Source organism: Homo sapiens, chromosome 9, assembly GCF_000001405.40.
Source record: "Homo sapiens chromosome 9, GRCh38.p14 Primary Assembly".
Taxonomy (NCBI): Eukaryota; Metazoa; Chordata; class Mammalia; order Primates; family Hominidae; genus Homo; species Homo sapiens.
In genome coordinates this window covers 131,410,699-131,423,399 of record NC_000009.12, presented here as the reverse complement: position 1 = coordinate 131,423,399, position 12,701 = coordinate 131,410,699, and the positions used below count along the sequence as shown (strand labels likewise).

General features: G+C 46.9%; 1 protein-coding gene across 5 annotated transcripts in view, besides 1 other annotated feature; it reads right to left on the bottom strand.

Moving 5' to 3' along the window:
* Positions 1-12,701, bottom strand: part of PRRC2B (proline rich coiled-coil 2B) — a 126,543-nt gene that overhangs the window by 76,794 nt on the left and 37,048 nt on the right. The window lies entirely within an intron of this gene.
* Positions 6,015-6,064: an enhancer, noted in NCBI's record as "active region_29189". NCBI's record gives its function as "activates an Ori minimal core promoter by ATAC-STARR-seq in GM12878 lymphoblastoid cells {active_cell/tissue: GM12878}" and the evidence as "EXISTENCE:reporter gene assay evidence [ECO:0000049][PMID:35858748]".

Here is a 12,701-nt window from a genome sequence, read left to right as displayed (position 1 = left end):
CCATCAACACACATGCATACCCCAAGCTAAACTAGCCTATCCGGAGGCAGGGAGAAAGCACCGGTGAGCATCCAAGTGTGAAGCAGGAAGCCGGCTGAGGCAAGAGAACAGCTCTCCAGCGGGTCTGAGGCATTTCCATCCAGCTCTGACTCACCCCTAGGTCTGTGGGACTAGACCCGGCATAGACGCACCAAGTCCTCGCAGGTTAGCATAAGTCAAACCTGGCTTATGGCCACGGCTTTACCTCACCTTCTCTCCCTTCTGTAGGCAACAGAATTCGTTTTCTCTCCAACAGAATCTGACTTGGAACCTCAGTATGACATATGAAGCAGACACAACCCAATGATGCCTGCTGGAAAGAAGTCCAGCCTATGTGCCCCCTTGCTGTAAGCCCTCCTTTCCCACAGAAGCCACTCAGAGACACTGCCACGGGGAGCTAGAGCATTCTGAAACTTGCCAGCCTAAAAGAAAATATTGCCATTAGGCAGATGAAAAAGGGGCCTAAAACCCATATGAAGATAGATTTGGGAACAAATCAATGGAGAAAAGAACATTGAAAAAGAATCCAGGTTGCATATTTTGGCACATAATCTAAAGAAGTGCTCCCAGGCTGTGCTGGAACAAAAACAACCAGAAAGATTCGCCAACAACGGCAACTTCACATCCAAGCCCCGCCTCTCCAGACAGTGCCCGCCTGTCCAACAGGTTCCTGCTATCTGTCCACCAGAGGGAACATCTCTGCCCTGTAATTAATTTATCAAAAGCCATTTCCGGGTAACAGGATTAATTTCACTCCACACTTGAGTGCCAGCCAGTGTCAGATGCCTGACCAGGGCACTGGGATGACCTGTCATTCACCAGGAACCACTACGGCTCCGCATTCAGGGGAGATCAGTGGCCACCAGCACTTCAAGGGCCAGGCACCCTGCTAAGCCCTCATGTGCTCTACTCCCCTTCATAACAGCACTTTCTGGAAGATACTACTGCCTGTTTGACAGAGAAGGACATTAAGGTTCAGTCAATCAGGATAGAAAAGTAACACACCCGGCAGGATGCGGGTGACTCACGCCTGTAATCCCAGTGCTTTGGGAGGCCAAGGTGGGTGGATCACAAGGTCAAGAGATCGAGACCATGCTGGCCAACATGGTGAAACCCCGTCTCTACTAAAAATACAAAATTTAGCTGGGCATGGTGGCGCGCGCCTGTAATCCCAGCTATTCGGGAGGCTGAGGCAGGAGAATCGCTTGAACCCGGGAGGCAGAGGTTGCAGTGAGCCAAGATCATGCCACTGCACTCCAGCCTGGGAACAGAGTGAGACACCCATCTTAAAATAAAATAAAAAAATAAAAAAAAGAAAGAAAGAAAAGAAAAGTAACGCACCCAAGGTCACAAGGCTGCCGAGTGCAGGGCCAGGCTTGGAGCCCAGGCTGCACTGGACGCCACCAGGCTGCAGACTGAATGCCCCACGACCTGGAATCTGCTTTCCCAGTGGGAGTACCGGTGCAGACACGAAAGGCGGCACAATGGGTTCTGATATAAGTCAGCCCAGGCTCAACAGCTGCTTTCTGGCCAACTGTACAGATGATGATCCTGGACAGCTTCAAAAACAAGCATTTTATTTACGCCATGCCACCAACAGCCAGATTCTCACCCAAGGCAAATCCAGTCACTTCACTCTTCACATGTGGGCACCTAGAGATTTCATGGCTCTTTCCTCCACTCACAATAGTGACAAAGGCCCAAGGCCCGACCTCAGGGGGACACAATGAGTGCTGCAACGTGCCCTGGCCGTGAGGCTGGGGGCAGTGAGAGAGAAAGGTGGAATGTCTCTTTATAGAACGAACGGAAAGATCCCACTGCTAGACAAAACATACCAAAAATCATGATTCCACAGGCATGGAAATTGATAGCAGGCTGGATAAACGCTTCAGGAAGTAACAATGTGGGCCAGAAAAGGACGTGGCCACTGGACAGTTTACTTGTTAAGTCTCAGCCAAGAACCATCACCACGAAATCCAGGGACAAGATGAAAGAAGTCTATCTTTCCCCAACACACCAATCAATGTCTGGCAAAAAAACCTTTAACGTAAGTAAGGCGACCTCACCTACTTCAAATACTCAAACGTTTACTGACCAATGTGTGTGCCAGACCCTGTGTCACTTGGTGCTGGGGACATGGAGACAGGAGACTCCACCCTGCACTCCTGCAGCAGGAGAGATCTGCAAAGTTTGTCTGTAAAGGGCCAGACAGTAAATGTACTCAGCTTTGCTGGCCACACAGAGCTCTCTGCTGCAATTGCTCAACTCTGCCTGAGGCTGTCGTCGTAGCATGGAAGTAGCCCCAGACAATACATAAAAGAGAATAGCCATATTTACAAAAACAGGAGGTGGGCTGCAATCGGGGTTGCAGTTTGCTGCCTTCTGGTTCAGAGGGTAAAGTATGGACATGAATACATTGCAAGATGATGATGAACTTGTGTGCATATCAGGGTGGGGGAACCAGGTGGGTTTGAGGGGACACTTCTGCTGCCTCACTCGATGACAGCCTAACCCAACCCCCACCACACCTCCAGCTTGCAGAGGCTCCCTACGTGGCACTGTCAGAAAAGCAAGGGTAGGCCAGGTGTGGCGGTTCACACCTGTAATCCTAGCACTTTGGGAGGCTGAGGTGCACCTGAGGTCAGGAGTTCGGAACCAGCCTGGCCAACATGGCGACACCCTGACTCTACTGAAAATACAAAAATTAGCTGGGCGTGGTAGTGCATGCCTGTAATCCCAGCTACTCAGGAGGCTGAGACAGGACTCACTTGAACCCAAGAGGTGGAGGTTGCAGTGAGCCGAGATCATGCACTGCACTCCAGCCTGGGCGACAGAGGGAGCCTCCATCTCAAAAAAAAAAAAAAAAAGAAAGAAAGAAAGAAAGAAAGAAAGAAAGAAAGAAAGAAAAAGAAAAAGAAAAAGAAAAAAGAAAAGCAGAGGTGGCTTTCAAAGAGCCCTAAAGCGCCCACATTTCTGTTCCCTAAGAGCGAGGCACTGGCTCATCTGGAAAGCTGAAGGCTGGGCTCAGCTATAGCACAATCCAGGCATTCTACCTGCAGAAGCCCAAATGGGTGAGGTCCCTGCAGAACACTGCACAAACTCTCCAAGAATAAACAGCCTGAAAATAAGGTTTGAGGAAACCACAGAGTGGGGAAAGTGGGGTTCCTGGTAACCCAGTGTTCCTTATGGGAGACATGAGCCATCCCCAGAAGACCACGCACCCCAAGGAGACAGCATATATAGGAAGCAACAAATTTAAAATAAGAGGAAAGGAAAAACAAAGAAGCATTGAGGCGTATGGTGAGGACACAAGAAGCACTCCCCACCCCCAGTGGAGAACTGGGGGGTTCTCCAGCACTTAGTTGCAAGCCCCTTGCCGGAACCACATGGTCAGCTGGGTCCCCTCCACCAGAGCCACGGCTCACACAGCAACACAGACCACGGGGAGCACCTGCTCACACACCTTCCACATCACCCCCCACCGCGCCAGGGTCAAGTCCAGACCCCCCCGGCCCAACATGCTGGCCCCACGCCGCCACCCAGCCTTCTCCCCACACCACCCCCGGCAGTCTCAAATCTGAAACACTGGGTTTGCATCTCGCCTCCACTCCACACTGTGACTTGAGGTCTATTTCCTCGTGGATTAAGATGAACATACCATGTTAATCTCCCACCTCCCAGGTCTGCTGTAAGGAATAAACAAGAGAACAAAGACCCCCGCACTTGACCCAGCACTTGTCCTCAGCAGGCACTCGACCAATGGCGGCTGTCACCTCACCGTGGTTCTGCTCTTGTTCTCTCTCCAGCCCACCCAATTATCAGCTTTTGACAGTGCTCATCTCTCCAGACTCCTATGCAGCCAGGGAAGCCTCCGTTCCCCAGCAGGGCTGCTCTGGGTGGTGCTGGGTAGACCAGGCACCTGTGCTTCTACCTCCTCCTGTGCACTGGGGACCCGTCCCCACGTTGGTGTGTCACAGTTTAAGTGTCACAGTTTAAGGGTGCTGGTACAGAGAGCAGACCTTCAAACACCATGAGGACAAACTCCCAGGTGTTTAGGATCTGCTAGTGGACCCCTTTAATTCTCAGGAAGACAGAGATGCAGGGAGATTCTCAGAAAACCCTCTTGAGATAAACACTCTACTGTGACTAATTTAAACCACACTAAACTGCCCCAGTTTCAAGGCTTCCCACTTTGGGGCAATAAACGTAGCTATTTACTGCAGTCACCCTCTGATGTTACAATAGATGGCCTTATGGAAGTGGATAATCCCAGTACTGCTCATTTATTTCTCCATCACATTTTTAGTAACAAAAGAAATATACGCTTGATACAGAAAAACTGTAAATCTTAAAAAAAATTACAGAAAAGTATCATCCCTAAACCAGCTCCCAGATTAGATCCCTGGATCTCTCTTCACCAGCATGAGCCACTTAAATTCCAGGTGCTGTCACGCTGCAATACTAATCATCTGCCTCGCCCGTGTTCTACTGTGTTTTGACTTCCCATTTCAAAAGAATTCAGCAGTAAGGGTCATAAAACACTGTGTATTAATTCCAAACAGATTTGCTATTTGTTTTTTAAAACTATGAAGATAATTTTAAAGAAAACTCAGGATGGCAGAAAGGCTGAGCTGAGCACACACACACCGAGGAGGAAGGCCACGTCCCAGCCAGCTGCAGCTGTCCCTGGCTTGCCCGGCAGTGCCATTGTTTACACCCAAAGCCTTTCCCCTGTAGGAATGATGTCACCTGGAGCAAGCTGGAATCTGGGCACAAAAGAAGAAGACAAATCAGGCTGGCCTGTCTCTGGCAGCAAGTGACTTCCTTCAGCCCAGGAGAAAGCATTCCTCCCCACCTTCCTAAACCCTATGTCCTCACAGAGACTCACAGAAAAAAACACAGGGGGGTAAAAAAAACCAAGATTGGTTCTATCATCCCCCAAATAATAACCAACGCTGAATCTAAACTCCCACCTAACCTCTAGGTAAACACTCTCTGGGGCAAACACTCCCTATAGAGGATGAACCCCCTTTGCAGGCAGTAGCTCTCTCTCTACACACAAGTTTCCAGAAGGAAGAGGGGGCCAGGGGCCAAATGTCACCTCCTGCACTTACTGTTTTCTCAGTGACAAAGTGGAGACAGACAGCTGCTTTAGAAGGAAGAGATGATGATCCCCAGGTGTGCCACCAGCACCCTGATGCAATGCTCCTTGGCACAGAGGAGTTCAGCAGATAGTGGTGGTGACACCATCACCCCCTGCAGCTGGCTGAACTCTCTGCCTCCGGGGCTTTGGACTCCCTTTCTCAAGGCGTCTGGAGGGAAGGACAGAGAAGTTCACCCTCCATATGTGTAAGAAGGTTGTGCCAATGACCAGACATCAAAACCAGCCTTACCTCTGGGCCTCACCATGCTCTGTAGCGACCACAGCAAATGGCAGTTCTTGAGGTTCTGACACAAAAAGAGAGTCATGCTCGATCATGGGGAAAAGGCAGTCGAGTGGTGCTCGGACAAAAATACTCCCACACCCGTGTACATAAAGAGGGCTGTGCACGCATCTCCACGCACACACATCCCACAGATGGCCCTTAATTCAATTCCATCCAACTCACAGACACACTATTTAGAATACAGGGGGCTTCTGGTTAAACATGGCAGAAAGACTGAGGGCTTGTACAGCTCATCCTTCCAACCCCCGAAAATGAAAACAGCGAAGAACCCAAACAACAGGGACAGTTTTGGCAAGGAGGGGGCAAAAGTATGAACAGATTTCACAGACTGAAAGATGCCACAACATGAGGACTGCAGAGGGGAAAACCTCCCTTCACCCAGGATATCAGAAGGCTCAGGAGGTCGTAGGAGGTGGCAGGCACCTTGCATGAAAGGGGAAGGTGGGAACTCAGATGTGGGGGGACTGGCTGAAGGCTGCAAGTGCAACAGCTAGACACCTACGGCCCCTTCCCTCCCCCACTGGATACATTAAACAAGAGAAGTCTAGACTTGAGAACACCAGGGTCAGAGGGGGAAGGGGTGGGGAAAGGAGACCCCCCAAAAAAGTGAAGAGAGAACCTGAGTGGCAAACCTCAGAAGCTTCAGGCCCCCCACTTCTGCTGCTCCTCACAGGAGGGCAGCAGACAAACACCACACCACCCTCCACTCCTCAGGCAAAGACAAGGGAGTCTTCTCTTGAAAAACCAGCCCCAGAGAAAGAAAACCTATATACACCAACATGGGATTCAAGAAATGAAAAGGCCAGCCTCCCATCCAGGCACCCACTCTGAAGAGTCCATGCAGTTTCCAATCAGCTGTGTGCCCGAGACCACAGGTATCTGAGAGATGACCAACTAAAAGACAGACACCAAATAAATAGACAAAATAACAGAGGAAACAGACAGTGCCAGAGATCAAAGATTAAAAATATGTATTATAAAATTAATATCCTCATAAAATCAAGAGAAGATACCACACCCATGAAATAAACTTTTTTTCCCCCTTAAAAAATAACTAGAAAACAAGAATCACCCTAGTTACAATTAAGCATGTTATAGCCCAAACCCCATAACCTCAGGATAATCATGAAGAAAGCATCCGACAAATCCCAAATCGAGGAACATTCTACCAAATATCTGATCGGTATGCCTCAAAACTGTCATGGTCATCAAAAACTTAATTGTCACAACCTAGTGGAAACTATGGGGACATGATTAAATTTAATGTGGCATCCTAGAACGGAAAAAAAAAAGACACTGGGTACAAGCTAAGAACATCTGAATAAAGCATAAACTTTAGTCAATAATAATGTATCAATACTGGTTCATTAGTTGTGACAAATATACTGTACTAACATAAGATGTGTTTAATGGGGGCAAACTGGGAGTAGGCTATATGGGAACTCCAACTTTTCTGTACAGCTAAACTATTCTAAAGTAAAATAATCCAATTAGAAGAGGTAGAAGAGGCCAGGCGCAGTGGCTCACACCTGTTAATCCCAACACTTTGGGAGGCCGAGGCGGCAGATCATGAGGTCAGGGGTTCGAGACCAGCCTGGCCAATATAGTGAAACCCCATCCCTACTAAAGATACAAAAATTAGTCAGGCGTGGTGGCATGCGCCTGTAATCCCAGCTACTCAGGAGGCTGAGGCAGAAGAATCACTTGAACCTGGGAGGCAGAAGTTGCAGTGAGCCGAGATGGCGCCACTGCACTCCAGCCTGGGCAACAGAGCAAGACACTGTCTTAAAAAAAAAAAAGAAAGAAAAGAAAACGAAGAAGAGGTGGAAGAGCAAGCCAAACAAATCTCAGAAAATGAGCGATGGGATAATGCTAGTCACATCCTACCCCCAAAATCAAAGGATTAACCCAGGAGTCCAGATTTAACTAGGAGTTCCAGAAACATGGGGGTGGGGTGGGGGGAAGGAGAGGAAGAAATTATCAAGTAAAAAATGCCAAAAATAGTTCCCAGAGTTGAAGTAGCCAAGTAGCCGAGACTTCAAAGGCCCACCAAGTGCTCAGAACAATGGATATAAAAAGAACACAAAGTACAATGTGAAATTTCAGCATGTTAGGGATACAGTTTGAGAATCTAAAAGCTTCTAAAAGTCATCCCTCTTGCAAAAAAGTTCCCAGGGAGGAACAATCAGAATGGCAATGAGTTCTCAGGAGCAACAATGATGGAGACTTCTTACCAGTATCACCATCCTCTCTAGGAAATGACTTTCAATCTAGAATCCAATACTCAGCTGACCAAGTCAAGTGTAGGGACAGAAAAAGACTTTTTCAGACCTACATAAGGACTCAAAATAGGATTTTTACAAGAGAGCAAACCGAGGGACTGGCAATATTAGTGGGACCACTCCTGTCTGCCTACCCAGCAGTTAATTCTCCCTTCCTCCTTCCTGATGGAGCCTGAGGGAGGCTGACCCAGCCCCAGCCCCAGGGGAGCGGGGGCCTGGCCTAAGAGAAGCCCAGCTCCGGTTCTAATGACTGGTTCAGAATGGGTGCACCCAAATAATCCCAAACCTGTCTACTTCTGGACTTGCAATTACTTGAGTCAATGAACGTTCTTATTAAGATAGTTGCTGTTGGCCAGGCCTGAAAATCCCACCACTTTGGGAGGCCAAGGCGGGTGGATCACCTGAGGTCCGGAGTTCAAGACCAGCCTGACCAACATGGTAAAACCCCCGTCTCTACTAAAAATACAAAAATTAGCTGGGCGTGATGGCGCACACCTGTAGTCCCAGCTACTCAGGAGGCTGAAAACAGGAGAATCGCTTAAACCTGTGAGGCAGAGGTTACAGTGAACCGAGATTGTGCCACTGTACTCCGGCGTGGGCAACAGAGTGAAACTCCGACTCAAAAAAACAAACAAAAAAGACAGTTGCTGTCATTATGTCCAAATTATCCAACCAATACAAATAGGATCCAGGAAATAAGGACCACGTGTGGAGGGACAAAAACAAGTCCCAGAATGACGACCAACAGAAGCCCGAGATAGCAGCCAGGCACGGTGGCTCATGCTTGTAATCCCAGCACTTTGGGAGGCCAAGGCGGGTGGATCACTTGAGGTCAATAGTTCAAGACCAGCCTGGCCAATATGGTGAAACCCCATCTCTACTAAAAATACAAAAATCAGTTGGGCGTGGTGGCAGGCACCTGTAGTCCCAGCTACTTGGGAGGCTGAGGCAGAAGATCACTTGAACCCGGGAGGTAGAGGTTGCAGTGAGCCAAGATCAGGCCACTACACTCCAGTCTGGGCGACACAGCAGAGACTCCATCTCCAAAAAAAAAAAAAGCCCAAGATGGTAGCCGCACCATGGGCCAGAGGGGCAACAGTCCTGGTAAAAACAGGATAGAGGCTTCTGGAGGAACAAACAGGATGGATTATCTACCATTTCCAGGAAATTACAAATTAGTATTGATTGCATTTTCTTGGAGCAATGTAAAAAGCAAAAGATACAAACTTTAATGCAGTTTAATGTATCAAATTTTTCTACTTTGGTTACTGCTTTCTGTGTCCGATTTTTCCAAAATCATGAAGATATCCTATGTTTTATTCTAGAGGCTTTATTGTTTTATCTTTCATGTTTACATCTATGATCTACCTAACACTGATTTCTCGATATGATTTGTGATAAAAGTTTCATTTTTTTCCCTTATGGAGAGTTCAGTTCTCCCAGTACCTTTTCTGAAAAGGCCATCTTTTCTCTTTGTCATGTGTCATAAATTAAGTGACTACTGATGTGCAGTTTGTTTGAAGACTGTTCCCTCCAATCAGCCTATTTGTCTATCTTTTTGGCAACACTGCATTGTCTTAATCACTGCAGCTTTTATAAAGTCTGGATATTTGGTAGGATATGTCCTTCAGCTTTGTTTTTCTTCAAGAATGCTTTGATTAAGGCCCGGCGTGGTGGCTTACGCCTGTAATCCCAGCACTTTGGGAGGCCGAGGCGGGTGGATCATGAGGTCAGGAGATCAAGACCATCCTGCCCAACATGGTGAAACCCCATCTCTACTAAAAATACAAAAATTAGCTGGGCGTGGTGGTGTGCGCCTATAGTCCCAGGTACTCGGGAGGCTGAGGCCGAAGAATCGCTTGAACCTGGGAGGCAGAGGTTGCAGTGAGCCAAGATCGCACCGCTGCACTCCAGCCTAGGCAACAAGAGCAAAAACTCCATCTCAAAAACAAAATAATGCTTTGATTAGTCAGGTGAGGTGGCTCACACCTGTAACCCAGCACTTTGGGAGGCCAAGGCAGGATGATTCTGAAGCCAGGAGTTTGAGACCAGCCTGGGCAACACAGTGAGAGCACGTCTCCACTAAAAATTAGCTGGGTGTGTTGGTGCATGCCTATGTTTGAAATGCTTGTTCCCTGACGCTGTAAAGAAATAGCACTTGAACGTAAATTTAATTTCCTCAGCAAGGCCATTTTTATACTTTCTGCAGAAAGGGTACAGTCGCTAGCAGTTTTGCCACCGAACAAAGGAGACAGGGTCATTTACAACCTGATGCGTCCACCCTACTGCGTTCAGTTTCCATTGGCTGGAACAGGACCTCACATTCTGTATCTGTCCCGATTGGCTAGGAACTTAGAACTTTTTAAAAGAGGCGAAGGCAGAGGAGAACAAAGGAAGGAGAAAGTAACTTGTGGAATGCTAAGAAAGGTAAAAACACCTTCAAATAAGAAAAAGGAACAGGCTATGACCTAATGCTTGCTTGGACCAGTATAAGCATACCAGGGCAAATATTCAGGCTAAATTGTAGGAGCTAAGAATATAAAGTACATTAATTTATTTATTACAGCTAGCAGATATTTAAGAATGTTAGCACAGGTCTTTAAATAAATTTTGCTTCTAAAAGAAGTTACTATTTATTCCTAATTAGATGAAGAGGAAAATCTTTAAAATGAAACCTCTACTTTACTTTTTACACCTATAATCCCAGCTACTCGGGAGGCTGAGGCTGGAGGATCTCCTGAGCCCAGGAGTTTTAGGCTGCAGTGACCTATAATCGTCTCACTGCACTCCAGCCTGAGCAACAGCAAAACTCCTTCTCAAAAAAAAAAAAAAAAGAGAGAGAGAGAATGCTTTGATTATTCTTGGCCCTTTTGCATTTTCATATAAATTTCAGAATGAGTTTGTCAATTTCTGAAATAAACAGCTAAAACAAAAGAAAAGCTGCTGGGATTTTCACTAGAATTACAGGGAATCCAGCGGTTAATTTGCAAAGAAGCAACATCTTTACAGCGTCAGCAGAGCAAGGATGACCCTCATGTACCTGGTGCCATCACTGAGAGCTGGCAGCTGCCCATGCAGCCACCATATGCTCACCCATGACCCAGTTAACTCCAAACCTAGGTATATACCCAACAGCGTGTGCATGCACGCACGCACGCACGCACATACCCGCACTGTGGCAGCATTGTTTGGAAGAACTATGGAAATGAGCTCAGTCTGTCACATGGATAATTACATCCACATAACCAAAAACCATCCTACAATAAGAACAAATAAACATACACAACTATACAGATGAAACGCACAAAAAAAATGTTGAATCAAAGGAGACAGACACAAAAGAGCAAGCAGCAGAGCAGGGTAGTTTTAAAGGGCCAAGAGGACCACCCACAATGAAAGTACAAACATTAGAACAAACAGAAGCCTGTCCACCTTGGTAGATCAAGCCCATCAAGATAGAGACGGTCAACGTAGATGAGCAAACATGTTCTAAAAGTGACTATATTAGACTTTAAGAAAAATTCAGGCCAGGTACAGTGGCTCACACCTGTAATCCCCACACTCTGAGAGTCCGAAGTGAGAGGATCGCTTGAGGTGAGGAATTTGAGATCAGTCTGGGCAATACAGCAAGACGCCATCTCTACAGAAAAAAAAAAAAAAATTAATTAGCTGGGTGTGGTGGCACATGCCTGGATCCCAGCTACTTGGGAGACTCCCTTGAATCCAGGAGTTTGGGGTTGCAGTAAGCCGTGACTGTGCCACTGCACTCCACCCTGGGTGACAGAACAAGACTCTGTCTGAAAAAAGAAAAGAAAAATCCCAAATTCTGTAAAGTAAAACTGACAACAGTGCAATAAAACAAGACATGATGAAAGTAGAAATAATAACCCCAAGAGCTGGAAAACCTAACACTCTCTACTAAAAAAGTTTTGAATCTAAGTGGAATTCAAAACCACACCTGCAAAATATCTAGAAAATAGTACAAATGAGGCCAGGCGCAGTGGCTCATGCCTGTAATCTCAGCACTTTGGAAGGCCGAGGCGGGCGGATCACGAGGTCAGGAGATCAAGACCATCCTGAACACAGTGAAACCCTGTCTCTACTAAAAATACAAAAAATTAGCCAGGCGTGGTGGCAGGCGCCTGTAGTCCCAGCTACTCGGGAGGCTGAGGCAGGAGAATGGAGTGAACCCGGGAGGTGGAGCTTGCAGTGAGCCGAGATTGCGCCACTGCACTCCAGCCTGGGCAACAGAGCAAGACTCCGTCTCAAAAAAAAAAACAAAACAAAAAACAAAACAAAACAAAAAAACAAACAAAAAAAAGAAAATAGCACAAATGAAAAACAGAACACTGCATAACAAAGCTTTCTTCCCCTGCCGACACAGTCTCGCTCTGTCACCCAGGCTGGAGTACAGTGGCGTGATCTCGGCTCACTGCAATCTCCACCTCCCGGGTTCAGGCGATTCTCCTGCCTCAGCCTCCCAAGTAGCTGGGATTACAGGTGCCTGCCACCACCCCCAGCTAATTCTTTTTATTTTTAGTAGAGATGGGGTTTCACCATGTTGGCCAGGCTGGTCTCCAACTCTTGATCTTAGGTGATCCGCCCTCCTCGGCCTCCCAGAGTGCTGGGATTACTGGCCGTAAGAAAACTTTCAAAGCAAAAATAAATCTGTACTCAGAGGAAATATCCTAAAAACCAAATTCCTAACGAAAAAAAATGAAATATAAATTAAGCATCCAAGTTAAGAAATCAGAAAAAAACCAATGCAAGCAAATGTAAGGGAAAGCAGAAACAATGAAGAAAAAGCCTAAAGAGAGCTAGGGAGTGTAATAAATACATCTGCATAAAATTGCATTTAAGAATAGGAGCTCCTCCAGTCAGGTGAGGTCCACAAGGAAAAAAAGAAAAGAAAAAATGAATAAAATTAGTTCCT